Genomic DNA, 26,986 nt, shown 5'->3' with positions numbered 1-26,986 from the left:
TTAGGAGAGCATGGAACTTAGTCCCCTTGGAGTCTCTGTTGGGCAATGACATGGGGAGAGAAGGCCCTGTCCTGCTGCCTTCTTCAGTCTCAGAGGAGCTCAGAGGAGAGGGGAGGGATGGAGGAGGCTTACCAAATAATGTCTTTGGGGTGTGGGGCCATAGTGACCCTCCAGTAATATGATTTGACGATGGTGGTCACTGAGGACTGCTGGGGTTGCACACCACACTGGACATACTTGTAATCCTTACGGACACTGCAGAGAGGGGAGAAGAGGAAGAAATGTGGGTCTGGGGGTGGGGGGATGGGCTTAGGAGGGTCTCATGCCAGGAGCTCAGGGCCACTATGGTGGTCCTACAGATGGGGGCTCATCCCCTTCCTGGGGATTCTTGAAGCCTTGGATATGTCTTCAGGACCTTAGAGGTGGACAGTTCCTAAGGCCCAGTATCTGGAGGAAAGGGCATTTGAGGGTGCCTAGACTGCCCAGGCAGGGCAGAGGTGCCACGTGGTTCTGTTTCTGCCTTTCCCCTTAACAGCAGTGACAGCACATAAACACACTCTTTCTTTGAGATTTGATAAGGGAGGTACTACTTTTAGCCTCATCTTAATATCAATAGCTACTAATTATTGAGTTCTTTCTGTGTGCTTGACACTGTGCTAATTGATGACCAGTATCATTTCCATTGCACAGATGACTAAATCGAGGTGCCTAGAGATGTGACCAAAGAGGAGCAGGTGCTGGAGCCCCACCTCTGGCTTGCTAGCTCATATTCTGCTGTAATTAAGCCCCGGATCCTCTCTACCAAATGGCAATGTCTCAAAGAATGAACAATATAACCTTAGGTAGGTGTATTGCTTTAAACAACACAGAAACTGAATAGAAGGCATATCACTTGTCAACCCTCCGGGAGGTGAACAGGACAGATATCAGTAACCAAATTTGCCAGATAAAAAGTTGAGAGTGTAAGGAACTTGCAAAATTGTGTACCATTGTTTGTGAGCAAAATCTAGGTAGTTCTGCTCTTCCTTTGTAGGGTTGGGGTAGGTGGGAACAATGTGCTGTACAGGATCAGCCTCCCCCAGAAAGAAGAGCCCCCCTGCCCCCCACAGTTCTTAAGAGATAAATTCTGGAGCTCCTTTAGGACTTTGGCCCAGTCCTAAGGATCCTTCTGGAACATTCCAGAGTGGACTGAATTCACTCCTTGTCAACGCATGGGCTGCCAGAGGCTGGGGCAGAGAAGAGAGGGGACTGTAGAGCTATGAATTAGGGGAGGCCTGCGGCAGGAGAAGGGCAAACAGAGCTGCTCTATCCTGACGCTCTCTTATGGTGAGGAGGGAGTGATGTGTGTGTCAGCTGGGCGCAGTGGCTCACACCTGTAATCCCAGCACTTTGGGAGACTGAGGTGGGCAGATCACCTGAGGTCAGGAGTTCGAGACCAGCCTGGCCAACATGGTGAAACCCCGTCTCTACTAAAAATACAAACATTAGCCGGGCATGGTGGCAGGCACCTGTAATCCCAGCTACTTGGGAGGCTGAGGCAGGAGAATCGCTTGAACCTGGGAGGCAGAGGTCGTAGTGAGCTGAGATTGTGCCATTGCACTCCAGCCTGGGTGACAGAGCGAGACTCTCTCAAAAAAAGAAAAAAAAAAAAAAAGAAAAAAAAAAAAAAAGAAAAAGGGAAAAGGGATGTCATTCTTGTCAAGGGCAGAAGAGGGACCATGAGGTCAAAGGCTTCTCTGACCACCTCTGTGCTAAAGCAAGGACAGGGAGTGAGGAGCCCCGGCCTGGGCACCCCTTGAGAGCAGCTGGGCCCCAGCAGCTGGGGGAAGCAGGTATGGCCATCTCATCCACTGGAGAGCCAGATGGCAGCTGCCTGTGACGAGCATGGAGGGCCCAGGGGAGGCAGAAGGGGAAACTGGAGGTGGAGAGGGAGGAGAGTGCCGAGAAGCAGGAGTATGCTTGGGGCTGGGTGGGGCGCCTGCCTGGTGCTCACCGCTTGGCCATCCTGGAGTCCTGGAAGGTGACAAAGATCAGGTCCAGCCGCTTGAGCGGCACGCGGTTGAGCTCGGCGTTGAACTCGTCCGTTAGCTGCTCCTCTAGCTCGCTGTAATACTGCTCTGCATCCACCTGGGGTGGCAGGCAGCCTTCAGGGCTGGGGCCAGAGCCCCAGGAAGGCCTCCCTGGTCACGAGGTTCCTCCCCACTCAAGCCTCCCTGGATTGTGGTGGCCTTGAAGCACCTCAAGGAGCCCAGGACCCTGGCTGGCCTCCAAAGTCCCACCTCTAGAACAAGAAGAGGCGATGACTGCCATTCACCCCTGCCCTTAGATCTGGGGAAAGTGAGGCATAGCTAGGGGTACCCGGGGGCTTTCAGGCTTGGGGTGGACCCCAGAGAGGTGAGAGAATGTGTTTGCCGCATTTCCACGAGAGAGGGTGAATCTCTGGGCTGGCAGAAGTTCGGCATGGTCCTGAAGCAGGTGTCTGAGTCTCGACGCCCTCTTTGAGCCACAGTGGTCAGGTGATAAGACAAGCTGTTGCCTTCAAATGTTTCTGTCCTATCTCTTTGGGAGCCTGAGGCCTGGCAGCCTCGTGTAGCCTGCTGTGTTTTCTCTGGTCCTTCTCTCTCATTCTCCCATCCAAGACCAGAAAGGAGACAGCAGCAAGCTTCCCTGGATTGTTCTGAAGGTGGCCTCCAGAAAGGCTCCCATCTCAACAGGGAGGCAGGACATGGTGGATGGGGAGGAAGGAGCTGGGTGGGGAGCACTAGAGCAGACCTGAGTGAGGCCTGGGGCCCAACAGTGCGGGCAAAGGCACAGAGCCTAGAGCCCCAGGACCCCACCGCTCCCTTGCTGTGCTCCCAACGCTCAAGCCAGTTACCTCCTTGAAGCAGGTCCAGCACTTGCAGAAGCACAGGCGGGCACAGGGGTGGATCCTGATCATCACCTTCCCAGTCTTCTTGGCCTTGGCTGTATAGAAAAGCCGGCCCCGCATGGCATGGCGCCTGCCAGCGGTGGGCAACAGGAGAAGGACCTGCAGGTCAGGGGCCAGCAGAGCCCCATCCTCCCCTTTTACCCCCACCCCGGGCCCCAAAAGGCCCCGCTGCAGCCTCACCTCTGATCGTCCAAGTCGATCAGGTTCCTGACGTCGTAGCAGAAGTGGACTCTTGTCACGACACTGCCTGGATAGGCCTCGCTGCAGCCACAAACATGGGTGCTGAGTCGGCCTGTGGGGTTGGGGATGTGCTGCCCCTACCCCCTGCCCAGCATGTCGGCCCTGAGGGCTGGGTGGCTCAGCTGCCTGGTGTTCCTGGATGGGATACTCCATCTCTGCTCCTAAAGCTGAACCTCAGGGTTTGAACCTTGGCAATCTGAGAGCTGCCAAATCCTTCCTACACAACTCAGAACAGGGCAAAAGGGCGGAGCTCCACCCACTGGGGAACCCAGGAGACAGCTGTTCACGAAGAGATAATTAGCTCAGTGAACAGTGTCCTTGGGGCTGGGAACTTGGGGTCACAAAGGATGTCTCCAGATGATCTTCTCTAAATAGCTGTGATCCAAGGTTCCCTGTGCTCAGTAGTTGAAGCAACAGGAGAAAGAAAAATTCCCATCACCCATATCACAGCCATGCCATGCAGGAAGTCCCTGACTTCAGACACCCTGCTCCAGCTCCAGCGGCCCTCCCCATTCTAAAAAGCTGATCCTGAGCTGAGTCCAGGGAGAGCCACCCCGGGGTGTCCCAGTCCCACCATCCTGCACCAACTCACTACCCACTTGAGGACCCAGGCGGGGTTATGGGGAGGAAGCAATCCACGCCTTGGCCTACCCCAACCCACTTACTGAAAATGCTTAATGATGAGTTCTGGGTCTTCAATGTCCTTGGGCACATAGGTGATCATTAGTGTCCTTGTGACCTGGGTGGGAAAAATAAAAATGGAGAAAGAAGACTGTGCTTGCATAGGAATTCCAGACACCTCAGTCTTTTGGTGGCTCAGAGCAGGCCTTCTGCTCACAGCAGGCTGCTGATGCCAGTGCCTCCTTGCTGAGAGAGCCAAGAAAGCCAGAGCCAAGCTGGGACACTGTGGGCCAAGGAAGTGCCAGCTGCCTTAGCCCACAGCGTCCCAGCTGAGCCAGGCAGCTCTGAGGTTGGTCAACTGTGCTTCCGTTCTCCTCTGTGCCCAGCTGTGGGTGCCCTGCTCCGGACTGCTGTGGTGAAGGGAGGAAGGACTGGAAAGCTGCCATCAGGCTGGGGTGGAGGATCAGAGCTCCATGATTGGAAAGAGCTGCCAGAGCGACCCCACAGTGATTTCTGCTCTCCCTGTAGCTTCCACTGTTCCAGCGTAAAGCCTCACATCTCTAGGGAAATCCCTCACGTGAGACTGGGCCGGGGAGTTGGGAAGTAAACAAGACTCTGGGGAGAGGGTAGGGAAGCTTCCCTAAACTTCACACTTTATTCTGTGAATGGGAAATATCTTCCTGGGTCGTCACCTTTAAGATGACAGTCTGGTAATTGTGCTGCAAGAATCAGGGGTCTTGAAAGAGGCTTCTGGTGACAAGAAGGAAAGCTGAAGTAGCAGACACCAGACTGGTCAAGGGTGACCAAGCCTCCATGCCTGGCAGGCTGAAGCATTTGGGTTCACTTTTCAGGGAATGTGGATTTGCACTCTGGGGTGGGTTCAAGTGAATCAGTCCTTTTGAATGGACGGCCTGGAAGGAGCTGATTCCACACCACTGAACCTTTGAAAGGCTGAGGACGGGAACTAAGGATGCTCCTCACTCTTGCCCATCCCCAGCAGAGCATGGGTGCTGGTCCAGATGGGTGGCACTGCTGGTGCCTGCCCGTGGCCCCCCGTCAGTCATCTCTGCACACCAACACCTGCAGCATGCTTCAAATACTGCGACTGCTCTTTCCCGGCCTTGGGGCATGTTCAGCTTTTGTGCAGGGCCAAGTAGGGGAGGAGTTAAAGCCCCCAAGCGCAACCCTCAATGAACGGTGGACAGGGAGCTGGTGGAAAATACCCACGATTGCTCACCTCCAGGAAAATTCTGGGGCATGTGCTCTACACCAGCTCCCAGAGTTCCCTGGTCATGAAGCTCCACTTGCCCACAGGGGTAAGTTGCCCCTCCATGCTCCCTTTTTTTGGTTGCCTTTGCATCCTCACTCCCTTACTGGCCTTTCCTGGGATCACCTCCCATAAACAAGCGCTACTCATTCCAAGTCTCAGGGTCTGCTTGGATGGGGTCACCCAAACTGAGACGGTGGGGATACACGGGGGTCTCTGATCTCCGAGAGACTGCAGAAGGGCGAGGCACGGGCCTAGCAGGGGTGGGCAGGGCCAGGTACACTAAGTAGCAGCAGCTCAGCAGGGCCCAGACCACTTAGCATGGAGGCCCCCGCTGGTCCACTGGGCCTTGTTAATCCTTTAGTTTTCAGATGGTGGGAAGTCCAAGAGTCCCTGGGGAGGGGCGGGGCAGCAGAGGGGCAGGGATAGGAGGTACCTGGGCAGCAGCTATTTACCAACCAGTCTGAAAGTTTCATTAGGGGTGAGAGGATGGAGGGTGAGAGGGTGAGAGGGTGGAGGAGCGTGAGAGGGTGGAGCAGCGTGGAGGAGGGTGAGAGGGTGGAGGAGCGTGAGAGGGTGGAGCAGCGTGGAGGAGGGTGAGAGGGTGGAGAAGGGTGAGAGGTGGGGGCCAGGTGATTGTTACTAGGACTGAAGGGAGGAAGCTTGGCCCCTGCTCAGGTGAAACCGCCCCCTCCCATCTATCACAGTCTCCCTGGACCCTCTGAGGGCTTCTCTGAGGGTTGGAAGTGGTCAGCCCAGTGGGGAGGGACCCCAGCTTCCCACAGTGGGAAGCAGCTTTGTAGGCTACTTACCTTTTGGCTATTCCTGGGTGCAAACCCCAGGCAGTGATGAGCCATGAACATGAAGTTGGTGATGAAGTAGAAGAAGGACAGCAGGCTATGCAGCCACAGGAGCTTGCTCCTGCAGGGAGGGAGGCAGCAGCAGTGAGGTCAGCCTGTGAGCTCCCCAGAGCCCACTGCACAGAGACCCCTGGGCCTCCTCCTACCCTCAGTCTCCTGGGGCCCCCCAGCCCATCACAGTCTCCTCAGACCCCCACAACCATCCAAGTCTCCCCAGACCCCAACCCATTACAGTATCCCCCACCCCCACCCATCACAGTCTCCCTAGACTCCCCCTACCATCACAGTCTCCCCATACCCCCCCACCAGTCTGCCCATACCCCCCACCCACCACAGTCTGCCCATACCCCCACCCATCACAGTCTCCCCATACCCCCACCCATCACAGTCTCCCTATACCCCCCACCCACCAGTCTCCCCATACCCCCCACCCACCACAGTCTCCCCATACCCCCACCCATCACAGTCTCCCCATACCCCCATCCATTACAGACTCCCCATACCCCCCACCCACCACAGTCTCCCCAGACCCCCACCCATCACAGTCTCCCTAGACTCCCCCTACCATCACAGTCTCCCCATGCCCCCACCCATCGCAGTCTCCCCATACCCCCCACCCACCACAGTCTCCCCAGACCCCCACCCATCACAGTCTCCCTAGACTCCCCACCCATCACAGTCTCCCCAGACCCCCCCACCCATCACCATCTCCCCAGGCCACCACCCACCGCAGTCCCCCTGGACACCTCCCCCACCCATCACAGTCTCCTAGGGCTCCCTGCTCCCTCCCACCCATCACAGTCTCCCCATACCCCCCCACCCACCACAGTCTCCCCATACCCCCCACCCACCACAGTCTCCTCATACCCCCCACCCACCAGTCTTCCCATACCGCCCACCCATCACAGTCTCCCCATACCCCCACCCATCACAGTCTCCCCATACCCCCAGCCATCACAGTCTCCCCATACCCCCACCCATCACAGTCTCCCCATACCCGCCACCCACCACAGTCTCCCCAGACCCCCCACCCACCACAGTCTCCCCAGACCCCCACCCACTGCAGTCCCCCTGGACACCTTCCCCACCCATCACAGTCTCCTAGGGCTCCCTGCTCCCTCCCACCCATCACAGTCTCCCCAGATCCTCCCACCCATTGCAGTCTCCCCATAACCGCCACCCATCACAGTCTCCCCAGACCCCCCACCCACCACAGTCTCCCCAGACCCCCACCCACTGCAGTCCCCCTGGACACCTTCCCCACCCATCACAGTCTCCCAGGTCTCCCTCCCACCCATCACAGTATCCCTGGATCCTCCCCTCTCACCTATCACAGTCTCCCCAAATATCTCCCCATCCATTGCAGTCTTCTCAGACCCTCCCCTCCCACCGATCACAATCTCCCTGGACCCCTCTCTCCCAGCCCACATGCAGTCTTTCCAGGAACACCTTCTTGGAGTCCAGACACTCAGGTGCCTTGGAAGGGGCATCAGTGGTGAGAAAGGGTCTTGCTCCAGCTCATGGGGGGAACGTTTATTGAGTGTTTACTCTGAGCCAGATCCAAGTGGGACTTAGTGCATGGTGTGCATTTTCTCACTAGACTCAACCACACACATAGCCATGCATGTGGTTATCTTCACTTCACTCATAGGGAAAGGAGGGTGAGAGAGGGTCGGTGCCCCTCTCAAGGTCACTGTAGCAATGGTGCGCTGGGAGGTGAGCCCAGAGCTGCTGAAGTACTTAGATTCATCACTGCTACGCCATCCTGCCAACTGCTGTGGCTCAGGCCCCCATGGTTGCACAGCAGACCAAGTGAGGAAGAACCTGTGTTACCTGCAGGCCTCGGGGGAGGAGGACCAGACGGTTTGCAGCACCGCCCCTGGGGTAGGAGAGTCGTGGCACTTGGACCATGTTTGCCATCCCTGCTTTCAACCCACATGATGCCATCCCAAAGCACCTGGCTAGGATTGCTACTCAGAAATAGGGCCCACTTTATTCTACATGGTTAGAGGGGAGAAAGGTCACCTTGTTTCAAAATACCCCTGGTGCCTGGCACCTCACACGCCATTGCCATCTGCTATGATGGTGGATCCACCATGCTGCTCCACCCTCAGTTTCCACAGAAGGGCAAGGCTACATGGTCTCTACAGAATGTTCCAGCTCTCTGCCAGGATAGATTCATGGAGATTGATGGCTTTTTGCTGTTCTACTAGAATTCACTTTTTGTTGGGAAGATGTAGGTACCTCGGGCCAGCAATGGGCCTCGGGAAGGAGCCGATATCCCTGCTCTGGTTGGCATCCTCAGGGGAGGATATGGTCAAAGCAGAGGTGAGAGGATGCCATAGCCCCTTTCCGCTCATTTCAGAATTTGGGTTAAGCCAGTCTGCTCCAAGGTGTATTGCAGGAGAGCAGGGGCAGAGGGATAGGGGTTGGGGGAGGCGAGGTGGGGCAGGGGTGTGTGAACCCCACTCACACTTGCTGGAGCTGCTTCTGCAGCTTTGTCAGGAATCAGCCAAGCTGGCCTAGACACCTGGGCCATGGCATGGACCAACGGGGCCACATTTGGCTCGGGGCAAATTGATATGGCCTCCAGTCAGGTTGGCTGAAGTTGAAACCCACAGGTTCTTGGCCTGTGAGGGGAAGGAGCTTAGAGAGCATGTCCACCAGCTCTTCCCCAATGATGGACATGAATAAGGACTGAAGCTCAGTGTTGGGGGTGCACTGCTTCAGACCTAGGGCCAGTTAATGGCAGAGGTGGGGCACGAGTCTGCTGTGGGACTCTGAGGGGGACTGTCAGGCACATGATTCACTCGGGTATATGACGGCTGACTGGAACCTATTGGTGGCAGGAAAACAATCTTCAATCTCTTTCAGCACATGGTCTCTGCCTCTTGGGATCTGGGTACACTAAGCAAATAGGACCATTTCTCCACGTCTTCATGAGTGGCCAGTTTGGGCAGCTCCACTCATGACAGATGAGGACACAGGGCCTCATCTCACACCAAGAGTCCTGCCCCACCAAGAGGATGCAGCTTCTGGCATCTCACTCAGGACCCGATTCCCAGGGAAACCAGGCCTTTCTTATCAGCAAAACGCTGCCCATGTTGCAAACTGACATGTTAGACCTCCTCTCCACACCAACACCCCCAGCCAATGGAATGGGAGGTTAAGATCAGGTACCTACTCTGTGGAGACATTGACAATGGTGGTCCGAGCAAAGTGACTGCTCCAGTCTGAAAGAGAAAGAAGTTGCTGACCTCGAGCCTGGCTCCTCAGTTGCTGGGGGCGCCAGAATTCAAGGTTCCTGGACAAATGCGTGGGGTCTGGAGATGCTTGCCTTTGACCTCCTCTTCCTTCTGGTTCCCCAGAGCTTCTCCCCAACTTTTAACAAAGACATCAGAGGCCTCTTTTCCCTGGCACTGCTGACTGGGGCTCTCGGGAGGAAAGCGAGAACACTTCTTTGTGTGGTATCTCCAGGGCATAATTGGCACATAATGGACACCCAGTGAATGCTTGTTGGAGGCACCAGCCATCCAGCCACGAGCAGAATGATGAAATTAGCAACACTATTACCACTGGCAACGTCCAGAAAAGGCAACACTGCCTCATTCAGAGGAAATCCTTCTGGCTATGTGCATTAGTTTGACGGTTCAGACACCCCCTTATAAAATGTGTCTAAAAATCCTGCATGATATTATCACTGCCAACATACCAGCTCTTGGGATGAGACAAGACTCAGATATTACTCTAGTAGTGGCATTTGGTGGCATGGACACTCAGTGTGCTAAACTGAATTAATTAAGGTCTACCTCTGGCCAAGGATGAACAGGTAGAAACCTGAGGAATCAGGGGAAAGCTGGTTGCCCCTGGGGCATTTACGGTGCTATTCTGCACCACCCAGTTGTACAGTCTTCATACAGCTCCATTCAGCTTCATGATTCTAAATGAAATACTAGCTGCTATTCATTGAGCACCTACTATGTATATCAAACACTGTATAGGTATGTGGCATGTGATCTCCCAATCCCTAAGACAGTTGAGGAAAGTAAAGCTCGGGAGACTGATTTGCCATATACAAGGTTAAATCACATGTTAGTGGCCAGGTGCGGTGGCTCATGCCTGTAATCTCAGCATTTTAGGAGGCCAAGGCGGGCGGATCACTGGAGGTAAGGAGTTTGAGACCAGCCTGGCCAACATGGTGAAAACCCGTCTCTACTAAAAATACAAAAATTAGCCGGGTGTGGAGGCGGGTGCCTGTAATCCCAGCTACTCAGGAGGCTGAGGCAGGAGAATCACTTGAACCCAGGAGGCAGAGGTTGCAGTGAGCTGAGATCGCGCCATTGCACTCCAGCCTGGGCAACAATAGCAAAACTCTGTCTCAATAAATTAAATAAATAAATAAATAAAATATAAAATAAAATAACATATTAGCTAGGCAAAGGTATTTTCTGGGGAGCAGGTGTGGGTAAACATTGTGGAGCCATGATTTTTCTGTTTTAGAAGCCAAGGTCTCATCCACAATGCTGTTCCCTCCAAAGGGCTCACCCTGTTCCAATGAGTGGGAGTAGAGGTCCTACAAGACAAATTCTGCACCTATGGTGTTATGTCCAACAGAGTGGGTTCAGGGATCTTTGCAGTGGGTCACATGTCACAAAAGGGTCTCCAGGAACGCCCAGCCAGAGTGGGGCCATGAATGAACACTCAGTTCCAAACTGAATTAATACTATGTGCCTGCTGTGTGTCAGGCTCTGGGCCAAACCTGTGACAAAGGAGGAATCGTCTCCAGTCTCCACATGAGAGAAGCGAAGCATGGTTTGTTCAAGTTCACACAACAACAAACTCCCAGAGGCAGGATTAAAATAGATGTCTAGACCCTCAACCCCAGCCCTGACTGGCTTGCCTGGCTGCCTCTCAGGTCCAGCTGCTGCCCCAGGGCCAGCTGAGCTTTGCCTACCCAGAACAGATCCAGTATAGTTGATGGGCAAAATGATGCCCAGGGAGGGGATACAGATGATGAGCACAAAGATGATGAGGTGGTACTGGAACACGATGTAGATGCGCGCGTCGTCCCCACACTTGTTAATCAGATCCTCGTCCCTGGAAGAGACACACAGACAAGGACGTGCCTCAGGAGCCAGCGTGGCCACCACTTGTTGCGGGGAGGTAGAGGGAAGGGCAGAAAATGATCACCCCCTCCCCAAGTTTTTTTTTTTTTTTACTATCTCTATATCTCATATATAAGGCAACTTCGAAATTGCCCTATATCTCAAAGCCTCGGTTATCCTTGAAGTATACTTTAACTGAATTTCACAGACATATCAAAGATAGGGGCTCTGTTACAGATACACACTCAGGAATCCAGAAACACTCTTGAAATAGAGCATGCATTCATCCTTTTATTACTTCTTCAAACATTTTGAGTGGTTGCTATGGTGCAGGCACCAGATAAAGCACTTGTGGTACTGAGAGGCACTCTTAGGAAAAAAGGAACACCTGAAACCCATGACGAGATAATGAGCTATCACTCCACACTGCCAGATTTGCCAAAGTTGGAAAGTTGGACAACACTAAGTGCTGGTGAGAGTGTGGGGCGCTGGGAGTTCTCCTGCTCTCATGGGTGTATATGCTGGCCCAGTTACACTGGAGAACAGTTGGTATTATCTACTGAAATGGAATACATGCACATTCTATGACCCAGCAATTCACTCCTAGGTTTATACCCAACAGAAATGCATGACATGTGTACCTAGAGACATGTATAAAAATTTCACAGATGCATTACTTGTAACGTCCTCAAACTGGAAACAACTTACATGTCTATCAAGGTGAAATGGACACAAGAACTGTGATATATAAATCATGAAATACTAGACAGCAGTGGTCCCTAACCTTTTTGGCACCAGGGACCAGTTTTGTGGAAGACAATTTTTTCCATGGACCTGGGTGTGGGGTGGTGGGGGGGCAGATAATTTTGGGATGAAACTGTTCTACCTCAGATCATCAGGCATTAGTTAGAGTCTCATAAGGAGCAGGCAGCCTAGATCCCTCATATGTGCAGTTCACAATAGGATTTGTGCTCCTATGAGAAGCTCATGCCGCCGCTGATCTGACAGGAGGCAGAGCTCAGGTGTAATGCTCGCTCACCTCCTGCTGCGGGGCCAGGTTCCTAACAGGTATCGATCTGTGGCCTGGAGGTTGGGGACCCCTGTTACACAGCAATAAAAATGAATGACCCATAGCTGAACCTCACAAACACAATGCTGAGTAAAAGTTACCAGGCACAAACAACACATACTGTGTGGTTTCAAACATAAAGTTCAGCTATAGGCAATACTGAGCTATAGAGTTAGAATGGGATGGGGATGAAGGTTGGGGGACAGGAAGAGAGCTGCTGGGTATTGGCGATGTTCTAGTTGTGGATCAGGATGATGGTGGCACAGCCTTAGCTTTGTGATGACTGAGCTGTACATTTTTTTTTTTTTTGAGACAGAGTCTTGCTCTGTTGCCCAGGCTGGAGGGCAGTGGCACGATCTTGGCTCACTGCAACCTCCTCCTCCCGGGTTCAAGTGATTCTCCTGCCTCAGCCTCCCGAGCAGCTGGGACTATAGGTGTGCGCCACCACGCCCAGCTAATTTTTTGTATTTTTTAGTAGAGACGGGGTTTCACCATGTTGACCAGGATGATCTTGATCTCTTGAGCTCAGGGGATCCGCCTGCCTCGGCCTCCCAAAGTGCTTGGATTACAGGCGTGAGCCACCATGCCGGGCCGAGCTGTACATTTTTTGGTGTGCACTTTTCCATGTGCATGCTATACTTCAATTTAAACAATTTAAAAGCAACAAGTGCTCATAGAAACTTTGGAAAATATGAAAAAGAAGTAAATAATTCATCTACAATCTCATTGAACCTAAGACAATGATTAAAAAGCATTTGTGGCTGGGCATGGTGGATTGCGCCTGTAATCCCGGTACTTTGGGAGGCAGAGACAGGTGGATTGCTTGAGCCCAGCAGTTCGAGACCAGCCTGGGCAACATGGTGAAACCCCATCTCTACTATATATATATATATATATTAGCTGGGTGTGGTAGCATGTGCCTGTAGTCCCAGCTACTCTGGAGGCTGAGGTAGGAGGATCGCTTGAGCCTGGGAGGTTGAGGCTACAGTGAGCCAATATCATGCCACTGCACTCCAGCCTGGGTGACCTGGGGAACAGAGCAAGACCCTGTCTCAAAATAATAATAATGATAATAATAAGCATTTGGACTTAATTTTTGTTTGTTTGTTTGTTTTGAGACAGAGTCTCACTCTATAGCTCCGGCTGGAGTGCGTGACATGATCTTGGCTCACTGCAACCTCTGTCTCCCAGATTCAAGTGATTCTCCTGCCTCAGCCTCCCAAATAGCTGGGATTACAGGTGTGTACTCAGCCAAATTTTTGTATTTTTAGTAGAGACGGAGTTTCACCATGTTGGCCAGGTTGGTCTCAAACTCCTGATCTCAAATGATCTGCCCGCTTTGGCCTCCCAAAGTGCTGGGATTACAGGTGTGAGCCACCATGCCCAACCTCCTTTATTTTCTTGTTGTGTTCATTTTACTTGGTGATTATAGTTATAAAAAGCATTTGATGCACTGCTCTTTTGCTTGGCATTTAATCTCAAGCATTTTCCGATGGTTTTACGTAATGGTGACAGTGGCCTCTGTTGATGGAGCACTGGTTCATGCTCAGCACCATGCAGGCCTCCCCACTCCACTGGTGGACACACCATGGTTTACCCACCCCTGCCCCCTTGTCAGGATTGTAGGTTGTATGCAAAACTAGCATCCAGTCTGGGATTCAGATTTATTTTTAAGGCCGGGTGCAGTGGCTTATGCCTGTAATCCCAGCACTTTGGGGGGCCAAGATGGGCAGATCACTTGAGATCAGGAGTTCAAGACCAGCCTGGCCAACGTGGTGAAGCCCTGTCTCTACTAAAAATATAAAAATTAGCCAGGCATGGTGGCACGTGCCTGTAATCCCAGCTACTTGGGAGGCTGAGGCAGGAAAATTGTTTGAACGTGGGAGGCGGAGGTTGCAGTGAGCTGAGATCGTACCACTGCCCTCCAGCCTGGGCGACAGAGTGAGACTCCGTCTTAAAAAAAAAAAAAAGATTTATTTTTAAACAATACTACAAAAGGCACACCTTCAAGGTTTTCAATGTTCTCATTTGAGGAATTATTTAGAGCTCTTGATTTTTTAACTTTGAGCGGCTAAACGTTTCCCTCCCTGGACTTGAGAATGAAATGCCAGAAGTGGAATGGATGAGAACTTCTGGAGAGCGGGGGAAGGTCCTCTTGCACTGCCTGAGGCGGGGTGAGGTCCAGGAGCCTCCAATCAGGTGGAGAGAGCAGAGGGCTGGACAGGACTGGATGGCACTGAGAGCACTAGAATTCTCTTCCTGGGCCAGGAATTCCTGCCTCCACCACTAGGCCTGTTTCCTTTCTCCATCTTTCTTGTAAGTGCCCCACCCTGACCTTCCAGCCAATCGCCCTTCTTCCTACTCACAATTAATTCTCTGTCTCTGCTCTCATTGCTTCCCTTCCTTCCACCTCTTTCTGAAGACGTGCTGGATCCATTGTTCTGCTCTCTCATCTTCGGCATCCTCCTCTCTCTGCATGCACCTGCGTCCACCCACACCTCTTCCCTGTAAACTACAACCAGGCTCAAGTGCTTGTTGGTTCCTCTGTAATAAAACAGCTCCTCAAGGATCCACTCTCTGATCTGTTCCCTGACCTGTTTTCCCTCCTCCTTCCAGTAGCTTCACTTCCCTCCTTCCATGCACCTCTGGAAAAAGGTGACCTTCCTTCTCTGCCTCTGTGTCTTGGACATCCTATCCTCGGCCTGCCCTCCCAACAGAGACCCAACTCACCAAAGTCAATGTCCTTTCCTCAACCCCCATTCTACTCCACCTCTGTAGCACTAGAGGTTTCTGGGTCGCCCCACCCTAGAGGGGAGCCTTGTCCTGGCCTGGCTTCACTGAGTCCAGCCCAGAGGATGCCTCTTCCTCCCGCCTCGATGAGGCACTCCCTTGGGCCGCTTCTGGTCTTACATCCTTGGATGACCCATCTGCTCCCATGACTTCAACTACAGCCTCCATGCACCATCTCCCAAGTTGAAATCTCTAACTCTGACCTTTCTCCTAGGCTTCAATCTTGTTTTTTCAACAGCTCCTTTGTCAGCTTGCATACTTGCCCTGACTACATCTCATCATTTTGTGTTTCCTCTCCCACCTAATGGCATTACTACCCTCCCCAGAAACCAGACCTCAATTTCTCCCTCTTTCTTAACTAGGCCACAACCTACTGACTGTAGCCTTATGATCTCCCTCCCATCTTCCCCTCCCATTGTTTCTCTAGTCACTGCCCCGGTTCAGGTCACTAGCACCTCCCACCTCGACCATTGGAATAGCCTCCTTAACTGCTCACCTTGACTTTGGACTTTCTCTAATGCCATTCACTCTCCATACTTCTGCCTACACACATATATTGTTCTGAGTTTCCAGCTTAAAAATACTAATTGGCTCTCTACTGTCTCTAGATGAAAGCCCAAGATTCTCAGTATGCCAGCCAAGGTCCCAGCTGAGGCCCAGTGCGGTGGCTCATGCCTGTAATCCCAGCACTTTAAGAGACTGAGGCAGGTGGATCACCTCAGGTCAGGAGTTTGAGGCCAGCCTGGCCAACATGGTGAAACCCCGTCTCTACTAAAAATACAAAAATTAGCTGGACATGGTGGCACGTGCCTCTAATCCCAGCTACTCGGGAGGCTGAGGCAGGAGAATTGCTTGAACCCAGGAGGCGGAGGTTGCAGTGAGCTGAGATTGTGCCACTGCACATCACCCTGGTGACAGAGAGATATTCTGTCTCAAAAAAAAAAAAAAAAAAATCCCAACTGATCCTTCCAGCCCAATCTTTTACCCTCCCCCGCCACACTTACCATGAAACCTTGCTTCTAGTCACACCAGATTTACCATGTCTGTGCACACCCTACTCATCTCTGCAACAAACTGGCTCACACGGTCCTTTACTTCTGATGTGCCCTCCACATCCCACATCGCGCCTGTCGAAACTCTTCCTGTCCTCCAATGCCCAGCTCAAAACTATACTTTTCCAGTTGGAATTAATTTCTCTCTTCCCCACATGCCGTCTGCACAGCAATTATAACCCTCCCATTCTGAATGCTACGAAGGGAGTCTTGTTCACCTTTGTTTCTCCAACCAGACCGCATGGGTTTGTGCACGGGGACGCTACTTGACTTATTGCTGCTCAGTAAACGCATTAAGCTGTCTTCTATGACACTGCTCTCAAGAGCTGCTGGATGCACGGTGCAATGCCCTGCCTTCCTGCTTTCCCAGATGCTGGGTCCCTGACAGAGGGGCCTCTGTGATAGGAGTCTTTGGGTAGGGGTGGGGTGGAGGGGTTTAAAGGATGGGCAGGACAGGACAGGTGGAGCACACTGAGGGAGAGCCCATGAGTGTGTGGGGTCTGAGGTGGAGGCAGAGCTGTGTGCACACGTGTACGTGTGTGTGCGTGTATGTATGAGTGTGCATGTGTGTATGCCTACGCAGTGGGAACATAGAGTTCCGGTAAGTGTCTGCTCTGCTGAAGCGTCTGGCTGGTGTTGGGGAATCAGGAGAAAACACGTAACTTGAGGTCAGCTTGCAGGAGAAAACAGGTGACTTGGGGGCTGCTTGCTTGCAAAGTGGGGTCTGGCATTCAAGAAACCCACAAGGTGAGGTGGGCAAGGGCTGCCCCTCTGCTCTCCAGGCACTGAGGCCGAGCGAGGCCTGCCCTTCTGCCCGATGTTTGCTTGGGCAGAAGGGCGAACACATGATATGTTGAATGATGTTCACAGAAATCAAGCAGATAGCACAAAGGAAGGGTTTCTTTTTCCTGGTGTGGAGTTCACAGAAGCATTTCTATAAGCACGCGAGTAATGATTCAGCTATTAAAAGTGGTCCTTCCCTAAGGACTGAGGCAGAGATAACAGGGGCAGTGGGCTGTGCCCAGTTCTCACGTCACCAACTGTACCCCAGGAAAGCATCCTTCACTGGTAATGGGCCGAGGTGGCGGGGAGGATACGGAGCTCAGGCCCTGTCTTCCCAGGCTGGGGGCTGCTAACTTTTCCAGGAGCCTCCACCCCCCACCCCCAAGGCAACACGGTCACAAGCTCACAGAGCCCGGGCACTTACTTCATTGTTATGCTGTTGAAGAACCAGGAACAGAATCCCTGCGGGGAAAGGAGAGAAACTGTGAGAAAACCCAGGTCCTGGCCTGCCCTGCCCAGCTCTGGGAACCCAGGCGGCCAGGTCATCTGAGGCAGCCGCGGCAGCGTCCGGGGCCTCCTTCCTGGGAAAAAGAGTCTGAAGGCTCAGCTGGGAACCAGTGGTGACTGTGGAGGGAGATGCTTCCCTGGAAATGAGTGGACATCTCTGCCCTCCTGTTATAGGAAATGGGGTTTAGAAGGTGACCCTTGAACTGGAGGGGGAGAAGTGACTGCTTCTGGGGTGAACGTCTGTTGCTCTCTGTCTGTCCTTCATGCTTCCTTCTGGAAATGTCCTTCACTGGATGCGTGTGGTCCAGTGGGCTCCTACTCTTACTCTGTCCGAGTGGGAGTTTGCCTCCAGTGATTGACTGGCCAATGGGAACTTTACCCAAGTGGGGCCAATTAAAATTTCCTTAAGGAAGCCAGGCATGGTGGCTCACACTTGTCATCTCAGCAGCTCAAGAGGCTGAGGCAGATGGATCACTTGAGCCCAGGAGTTTGAGTCCAGCCTGGGCAACACAGCAAGACCCCACTTATTAAAATTAAAAAAAAAAATCCCTTAAGGGGATTGATATGGGTGTTGCAAGGAGGAAGGTCTCTTTCCCTCTGAATTCCTGCACCTCAGTAAACATCATGAAACCTGGCGTGGTTTGGTGGCATCTTTGATGCCATGTGCTGAGGGTCCTGTCCGGTTGAGGCCTTTCTCTTGGGGTCTTGCTGTCTGGAGTTTCTGGGTGGTGGGGAAAGGTGGCCTTAGCCATGGGGAGATTGGTGGGGGACTAGAGAGAGAGTCATCTTTGGAACGGTGTGTAAGAGAGGGGGCTGGGGCCTGCAGCTCTAAAAGCTGCCAGCTCTGGTAGCTGGTGAAGTTACTCTGGTGCCTGCTTCCTTCTGGGATCCCAGAGGACTTAGCAAAACCTTGCACAAGGTTACAGCTCTAGATTGGCCCCATTTGGGTCATGTGCACTTCTGTGAACCAGGCAGACCTCTTGATTGATAGTCCTCTGGAACCACATGGACTGGGGAAGAGGTACTTCCCAAAAGGAAGCAACTATCAGCCAACCTGACACAGGGAAGGAAACTTAGAAGGCGGGCCTTATGCCGAGGGGAGCAAAGGACATCTGTTTCTTTTTTGCCTGTCCTCGTTGCTTCCTTTTGAGAAGGCACAAAAGAAATAGAAGTCCCTTGCTCCCCTCGGCATAAGTCCCACCTTCTAAGTCCCCTTCCCTGTGTTGGGTTGGCTGATGGTGACAATGGCCACTCGAGGGTGTTCACAGCAGGACATTCCTCCAGCTATGCCCTGGGGAGCTAAATTAAGGATAAATGTTCAGGTGTGAGTCAGAGCAAGGAAGGGAAATAGCATGGTGGTGGCAGCAGCAGTGGGGAGCATCCCCAGGGAGGGGTAACTAGCAAAGCAGAGCTGGGCCGAGAGAGGTCCAGCCACCCCTCCTGCATGAAGAGTCTGTCTCCATGGCTCAGCTGGGCAAACAGGGTGCAACTGACTAAGGGAACAAGTAGCTTTCTTGATGGTCCCTCATGATTAGGTACCACTGGGGACACATCTTCCTGGGAATGTGTTTCTGCCCCTTCCACTACAGGTGCACAGGTGTATACTGGAATAGACAGAGGATGGGTCATCCAGGAAAGGGCAGAGGTCATGAGTAGAAGCGTGGCCATGAATATCCTGTGTGGATCTCTCTCTCTCTCTCTGTCTCTCTCATGTGTGTGTGCACACACATACACACACACACACTCCCTCCCCTGAGTACACATTATCGCTCTGAAGGCATAAACCATTCAGAAAGCTCAGCAGCTGAACAGCCACATGAGAGGCAGATACAGGGCTGCAGTTCCCAGGAGCCAGCTCAGCTGACGTGACAGAGTGACAGCTGTCAGTTCACTTCACCTATCTGAGCCCCCGCCACCTGGGGGTAACAGTACCTGACCCAACTTGCTCAGGGAACCATGGTGAGACCCATTTTCTTCACCCACACCACCTGGCTCTGGCTGAAGGCTCCCCATCCTGGCTGGACACTGTGGGGGCCACCTCACTGAACTCTCTGTTCTCCATTTAATTTAATTTACGCCCTCTTCAGTTTGTCCCCCTCACTGCTGCCATAAGGATTTATCTTCTTAGATTTTTAAAAATAAAACTTTTTTTGTCATTGTAACAAGAAAAAAAAAATCAAAGTGATATTTCCAAGAATAAACCTGCGAGCCACCTTGCAAGGTAGATGTTGCTGCCTTTTTTCTATCCAGGAAGCCTTCAAGAGATGAAGTCACTTGTCTGAGGCTCTGCACTTTGGAGAGGGCAGATTCTAGCAAGTGAAGGACCCCGCCTCTCGAGGGATGACAATGGAAGGAATTTGGCTCCGCTTACTTAGCGCAACTGACAAATATGCATCAGATGCTAAGTACATGGCAGGCTGGATTGGATGTGGGGTGCAGTGGTGAGCAAATCCAAGTTCAGGGCCTGCGGAAAGCAGACACACTAGACTGATCTTGCAGATGAGGGATCGTTACAGACAGGGTTAAAAATGTTGAAGAAAAGGAATGCATTTTCTGTGGCTATATAACAAGAGATCTGGACCCAGGAGGGGTGGTCAGGGCTCCCTGGGGAAGTGTGCTTAAGCTGAAATCTCAACAAAAGGTGAGTGACTCAGAGAAGGGCCACTGCGGAAGGGGGAGAGGGAAGAGCCTGGGAAAGGGCTGGTGGAGGGAAGCAGGTGGCCCTGTTGAGAAGCTAAACGGTGGACTCATGTGGCAGGGATAGGGGAGTTGGGAGGAGTAAGGGAGGATGGACCAAACTACCAGGCCACGGCACAGCATCTGCAATTGATTCCACAGGCCCTAGGAAGACAGTGAAGGTCTCTGCAGCAGAATATATGTCCCCAGGCAGGGGAATCTCTCTGGATGCAGGTGGAAAATGGATAAGGGCCCTAGAGCGTGGACCTAAAGGGATCAGTTAGAGCTACTGCAGTTGTCCAGGCAAGAGGCTGATGGAGGCCTGGACCAGGGGATGGTAGGAGTGATGGAGAGAAAGAAAGCTGGGAAGGTCAAAGCAACACAACGTGGAGACACATTGGCTATGCTTGGGGACCTGGGTAAGAGGGAGAGGAGACCCTGGGGAGAATGGTGGGAGGTCTGAGACCAAGGTCAGAGGAACAGGTGGGTGTGTGGTGGGATATCATGAAATGTTTTGGACAAATGGAACCCCAAATGACTACAATATCCATATGGAGGTATTTTGAAAGGCATTGAATAATCAGGCTGGGGCCCAGTGGGAGAGGATTAGCTGGAGACAGGAATTTAAAAGTTTATGTGTAGAGATGGCAAAGGAAGTTGTCAGTGTGGGTGTCATTGCCCAGGAGTCAGGGTGAGGGGAAGGATATGGGATCAGCTGGTTGGGGGGACTCCCGGTGTGGAGGAGAAGTCTGCTAAGGAGACACAGGAGGAGCAGACAGAGAGGCAGAAGGAAAACCCAAAGAATGTGACATCACCTATGCAACGGAGAGCACCTGTGCAAGAGAGAAAGACGGTCTACAGGGTCAGACGTTTCAGAGAACGCAGGCAAGATGTGAACTGAGAAAAGTCCATTGGATTTAGCGGTGGGGGGAACCACTGCTGACCTTCAGGGTTGTCTGGGTGGAGTGAGGGACGGGAGCTCACATTTGAGGAGGTTGAGGCGTGAGTGGGAGAGGAGGCATGAGTGGGAGAGGAGGCGTGGGTGGGAGGGGAGGTGTGAGAGGGAGGGGAGGTGAGAGTGGGAGGAGTGGGAGGCAACGAGTGAGTGGGGGGCAGGCTTGGTGGGAGGGGGGCATGAGTGGGAGGGGAGGCATGAGTGAGAGGCGAGAGGGGGAGGGGAGGCGCTAGAAGGAGGGGAGGCGAGAGTAGGAGGGGAGGCGTGAATGGGAGGCGTGAGTGGGAGGGGAGGTGTGAGTGGGAGGTGAGTGGGGAGGGGAGGCGTGAGTGGGAGAGGAGGCATGAATGGGAGGCGTGAGTGGGAGGTGAGGCATGAGTGGGAGGGGAGGCGTGAGTGGGAGGGGGCGTGAGTGGGAGGTGAAGCGTGATTGGGAGGCGAGAGGGGGAGGGAAGGCGTGAGTGGGAGGGGGGCGTGAGTGGGAGGCGGGGCGTGAGTGGGAGGTGGGGCGTGAGTGGGAGGGGAGGCGTGAGTGGGAGGCGGGGTGTGAATGAGAGAGGAGGTGTGAGTGGGAGGTGGGGCATGAGTGGGAGGGGAGGCGTGAGTGGGAGGTGGGGTGTAAGTGAGAGAGGAGGCGTGAGTGGGAGGCAGGGCATGAGTGGGAGGGGAGGCGAGAGTGGGAGGGGAGGCGTGAGTGTGAGGGGGCGTGGGTGGGAGGGGAGGCGAGAGTGGGAGGGGAGGCGAGAGTGGGAGGGGGCGTGGGTGGGAGGGGAGGCGAGAGTGGGAGGGGAGGCGAGAGTGGGAGGGGAGGCGTGGGTGGGAGAGGAGGCGTGAGTGGGAGGCGGGGCGTGAGTGGGAGGCGGGGCGTGAGTGGGAGGCGGGGCGTGAGTGAGAGGTGAGGAAGTGGTGACAGCAGCATGGGCCACTGTCAGTTCAGCTGTGTGTGGGGGTGGGGAGGGAGGACGTTCTCAGGGCTCCCTCTCAGAGTATTCAGGGCCCCGCCGAAATGTCACCACTACCCGAGACCATCTCTGACCTCCTCCTGTGGCGTTCTCCACCATGCCTCTGTCTGGTCGTCTCCCCTGCCTGGGGAAGACAGCGCCATGAGGCAGGACTTGGTCCCCAGCTCCCAGACCAGTGGCTGGCACACAGCAAGTGGCTGAAGGAATGCATGAGTCGGGTGGAGGGCTGGCCTTCACCAGGGAAGAGGAGGAAACAGCAGACTGCGCTCCACTAAACAGGGCTGGGAAGCCTGAGGCTGAGGGAATCCCTACCACATGACTAGAATCTTCTATGTGAAATGGGAGGTGAGGCCTTGATTCAGAGTCAGAGGTAGGGACGTGGGCAGGACGGGACTGTGAGAAGGGTTGGAGATTTGAGCAGAGAAGACAAATTAATGTTAAAAATCTCTCTAAGATATCTTAATTCGTTAACACTTACTTGGCACCCTAGTAGTAGGTATGGTCAATAACTCCATCTTTCAGGTGGGGAAACTGAGTCTGGGGGAGGCTGAGGAATTTGCTCAAGGTCACACTGCCAGAGTGGTTGAGGCTGGCTGATTACAAAGCCCCAAGGTCTAAGCCGTGTTTCTTCCTGTGCACACCACGCCTGCCTGCCCAGTGCTGGGACTCCCACCGCCCAGACCGCTCCCAGCACTCACCTTGTCTCTGCGTTCCATCTCCAAGGAAGTCTCCGAGGGAGATGTCTTCTCGCTCTGCTCCCCATAGATCAGCGAGGTCAGGCTGCCAGCCAGGGAAGGGGCAGGGAGGTAAGAAAGGAGAGAAAAGTTCTCAGCTGCCTGCCCTGCTCCCTCCCCACTCCCTGGCTGAGGGCTGCCCTCTGCTCTGCCACGGGCAGGCGCTCCTCAGCTCCTTTGCTGAGCACACAGCTCTGGGCACAGACAGCAATCGCCCCTGTGCCAGGTACACCAGGCATCTGGGAGTTCAGCCACGTGATCCAGAAAGTCTAAGACCAGAGAAAAACACGGCCTTGTGCCCAGGGATGGCTGCCCTCCAAGTCCCCTTCCTGCAGGGAGGGCAGAGCAGGGGCAGAGGCCACTTGCTGGCGAGACACCTGCTGCAGCTCGGGCGCTGGGCAGAGCTGCGTCCTGGCCATGGCAACAGGTTTTCCCCAAGGGGGCAACGGCTCACCCATCTCGACCCCTCCTCACCTGTCATTGTGTATCAGCAGAGCCAGGCGCCCATAGTCCCACGCAGCTTTCCGGAGGAAGGAGTAAACCACAAGGACGAGCTACAGGCCAGGAAAAGCAATGTGGGGTGGGAGACTTCATGGATCCCTTCCCCTTGGCTGGCCCCCTGCATTCCCTTGGGGGAGACCCTGTCCCTGAGGTCCCCAGGGAGCTCCTCCACTAGAAGGTGAGCTCTGTTGGAGTAGGGGCCATTCCTTTCAACTGTAGGTTGCCAGCGCCCAGCAGCTTCTGGGCACAGAGTGGATGCTCAGAGTTCATTGAATGGAGCTGGAGGCATGTTCAGATCTATGGGACCAGAATGTGCCTTGAAGACCTCAGCAATGAGAAAGAGGAAGGAGGCCAGGTGAACCTCTGGACAATGATGCACAGAAAAGAATCCCAGGAATTCTGCCTGTTCCTCCAGCCTCTTTGAGGCCCACCTACCGGGGCCACCCTAGGCAGGACTGACATTCAGGCAGTTTGTATCAATGTTGTTGTTGTCCATTTGGACAACTGGGTCCCCCACTGCATCACCTGTGAAAGTTCGACCCTGTCTGAGGCTTTACTGTCTGCCTCCTGCAGTGCCCAGGACTCACCACCCACAGGGCGATGTTGAGGCACAGCACGGTGGGGACACCCCCAAAGGGCTGCCCCTGGAGGACGGTGTTCCGAGACTGGAAGCATTCATCCACTGTCATGTTCTGTAACCTTCCCCCTGTACTCAGGTCGTCTGGTGAGGCAGACATCCTGGGAGGATCCCTGGGAAACAGAGGGCATCCAGGTCAGATGCAAAGACTCCCTTGCATTTTGCAAAACACAGAAGCCCGATGGGGAGTTGTGGGATGGGCACCGAGTGCCTCGGCCAGGCTAGGCCACTTCAGACCCAAGACAGGAGGGCCAGCCCACGAGACGGCACACAGCCCTGTCCTGCAAGAGAACAGCTGCCTCAAACCCAAGGCCGGGATGACAGACTGGTTCTCGTTTCCTGGGAGAGTTCTTATTTTGTACCACTGGATCCCTGAAACAAGAGTTGTAAAATGCACATCCAAATGTGCATTTTTCCAGTTCTACCTTGGGAAGTTTTTGTTGTATATAAATGAACAAATTTCACAAATGTGGGTCAGACCCCAGTGTGGAAATGTTCAGGTTGGAAGTCAAAACCGCTGTGTTCACGGAACGCCCATGCAGACGGGGCTCAATGACAATCATCTCTGCATTCAGCAATCTCTGATGCAGTCACCATCCAGCCATGGTAAGGGCCATAGCTCCTAGGGAATGCAGTGCCTGGCATGTGCAGTGACTCAAGAAACACCCCCCTCTTTTTTTTTTAACTTCTGTGGGTACATAGTAGGTGTATATATTTATGGAGTACCTGAGATGTTTTGATACAGGCATGCAATGAGATATAAGCACATCAGGATAAATGAGGTATCCATCCTTTCGAGCATTTATCCTTTGGGTTACAAACAATCCAATTATACTCTTTCAGTTGTTTTAAGGTGTACAATTAAATTATTTTTGACTATAGTCACCCTGTTGTGCTAGTAAATACTAGATCTTATTCATTCTGTTTTTTGTACATATTAAGCATCCCCACTCCCCACCACCCTCATATCCTTCTAAGCCTCTGGTAACCATCCTTCTACTCTCTATCTCCATGAGTTCAATTGTTTTAATTTTTTTGCCCCCACAAATAGCTGGAAATATGTGGAGTTTGTTATTTCTATGCCTGGCTTAGAAAGGTCTCTGTCTTCCAGGCATTTGAACTAGGGAGACCAGGACCTGCCCAGGGACCTGAGCCAACTCCGTGAGCCTGAACATTTTGGTGAGACACCAATGCAGAGCCTGCCGTCCCTGGCATCACATTCCTCAGGCATGGATAACAGTGGGAAGGGCAGGTGAAAATGGGAGGTGTCCGGTAGCTACTTGAACTTATCTGCAAGGTGGTTGTTCTCTCAAAAGATCATTCATTTTGCCTTCAGACCTCACCTCTACCTGGAAACCCTTCACTTCCATTCGAGAAAAGTAGACTCATTCATCCATTCATTGATGCATTTGAATATTTGGTGGGCAACTGCTTTATGCTAGACAAATGCACCAGTGAACAAGATAAATAAAAATCCCTCCCTTGTGGGATTCTACTGGGGAGACAAAGTGGAGGGATGAGGGTGAGGTTAGAATTGTAAAGGGGTGATTAGGGAATTCCTCACTGAGAGAATGACATCTGAGCAAGGACTTGAGGGAGTGAACCATGCAGCTGTTGGGGAAAGAGCACTTTAAGTGGAGGAGAGGCCCTGGGCTTCGAGCTTGCCCGGAGAGTTGGGGAAGCAAGCAGACCAGTGGGCTGCACAGGGCAGGGCAAAGGGCATGGGGAGTGAGCCATGGAGTGAATTAAAATGACTTTTTTTTTTTAAGAGAGAGATAGAGCCTCACTCTGTCACGGTGGCACAATCATAGCTCACTGTAGCCTCCAATTCCTGGGCTCAAGCAATATTCAAGAGTAGCTGGGACTACAGGTGCATGCCACCACACCAGGCTAATTCTTAAAATTTTTTGATAGAAACAAGGGTCTCACTATGTTGCCCAGGCTAGTCTCAAACTCCTGAATTCAAGTGATTCTCCTGCCTCGGACTCCCAAAGTGCTGGGATTACAGGCTTTAATGAGATCTCTTTGATCCTCATATGGAGACTAGGTGGGGGAGCAGGAGGGGTGAACAAGTGGAGAAGTAGATGCGGAGAGCTCGGCCAGGGTCCGGGCAGGAGACAATGGTAGCCTGGACTGGGATGGGCGCAGTGGAGGTGAGAGACGTGCTCAGATTTTGGAAATATTCTGAATGTGGAGCCAACAAGATTTGCCGGCAGATTAGATAGGGGATGTGAAAGAGTGAGAGGAGTCGAGGATGACTCTCAGGTTTTTGGCCTGAGCCACTGGAAGATAGAGTTGCTGTTATGGAATGGGAGAGGCAGAAAGTGCAGGATGGAAATGGACAGTAGAGGTGGAGGGGGAGTGCGTGCAAGGGTGAAACCAAGAGTTGAGTTTGGAACATGCTAAGTGGGGACGGGGAGCAGGGATTTGGATAGGTTAGTCTGCAGTTCAGAAAAGAGACTGGAGACATAAATGTGAGACAAAAGCCACTGGCATAGCGACAACTCTTCGAGGCAAAGCCCTGAATTACAGAAGAGAATGTAGTGAGAGGAGAGATCCAAGGTGGGAGCCTCGGGGTGCGCCAATATCTACAGGGCAGGGGAGGAGGAAACAGAGAAGGAGACTGAGAAGTAGCAGCCAGTGAGGAAGGAGGAAAAGCAGGAGAGGGTGGTGTCCTGGGTTGAATGAAGACAATGTTTCCAGGAGGAGGGAGGAACCAGTGTTGATGTGGTCAAGAAAGATGACAACTGTGAATGAGCCATGGTTGCTCTCTCTCTCTCTCTCTCCCTCCCTCCTTCCTTCCTTCCTTCCTCTCTCTTTTCTACCTTCCTTCCTCTCTCTCTATCTCCCTCTCTATCTCTCTTTCACTTGAGGCACGAGCCACTGCGCCCAGCCAAATTAGCCATGGTTTAAGCCATGTGCAGGTGGCCAGACTGGAATAGGCTCCAGAGAGAATGACAGGAGAGGAATTGGAGCCAGTGGGCAAAAACAGCTCTCTGGAAGAGTAATTGGAGGTGAAAGTGGTTAAGACGGGAAAAATAACACATTGTATAGTGGTGGGAATGATTCAGTAGAAGAAGTAGGAGGAGGGGGGAACTGCTGGAGCAAAGTGAGACTGCGGGAGGCTTGGGAACTAGTGCACAGTGGAGATGTTTACTGAGAGTCAGGCTGTTGGCTGGGTGAGTGGGAGGGAAGGCAGCACACATGCTCAGGTGCTGGCTGGTCCCAGGAGTGGCGGCGGCAGCCAGTGAGTGTTCTGTCCTTACTGCTTCTAGTTTCTTTTTCTTTTCTTTTCTTT

The 26,986-nt window shown here is 53.0% G+C and overlaps 1 protein-coding gene across 1 annotated transcript in view; it reads right to left on the bottom strand.

The window, feature by feature from the left end:
* TMEM63C (transmembrane protein 63C) overlaps nucleotides 1–26,986 on the bottom strand; it is a 77,698-nt gene that overhangs the window by 16,894 nt on the left and 33,818 nt on the right. Inside the window, exons 3-14 of the mRNA NM_020431.4 lie at nucleotides 23,639–23,801; nucleotides 23,025–23,104; nucleotides 22,515–22,596; nucleotides 17,141–17,178; nucleotides 10,872–11,014; nucleotides 9,102–9,150; nucleotides 5,870–5,978; nucleotides 3,835–3,908; nucleotides 3,110–3,190; nucleotides 2,876–2,999; nucleotides 1,994–2,127; nucleotides 133–255 (exon numbers count right to left, since the gene is read on the bottom strand). Coding sequence (NP_065164.2) covers nucleotides 133–255; nucleotides 1,994–2,127; nucleotides 2,876–2,999; nucleotides 3,110–3,190; nucleotides 3,835–3,908; nucleotides 5,870–5,978; nucleotides 9,102–9,150; nucleotides 10,872–11,014; nucleotides 17,141–17,178; nucleotides 22,515–22,596; nucleotides 23,025–23,104; nucleotides 23,639–23,788 — 1,187 coding nt within the window. The 5' untranslated portion in view covers nucleotides 23,789–23,801. The remainder of the gene's footprint in view (nucleotides 1–132; nucleotides 256–1,993; nucleotides 2,128–2,875; nucleotides 3,000–3,109; nucleotides 3,191–3,834; nucleotides 3,909–5,869; nucleotides 5,979–9,101; nucleotides 9,151–10,871; nucleotides 11,015–17,140; nucleotides 17,179–22,514; nucleotides 22,597–23,024; nucleotides 23,105–23,638; nucleotides 23,802–26,986) is intronic.

The sequence above is a fragment of the Homo sapiens genome, chromosome 14 (assembly GCF_000001405.40).
Source record: "Homo sapiens chromosome 14, GRCh38.p14 Primary Assembly".
Lineage (NCBI taxonomy): Eukaryota > Metazoa > Chordata > Mammalia > Primates > Hominidae > Homo > Homo sapiens.
This window is presented reverse-complemented; position numbering and strand designations above follow the sequence as displayed.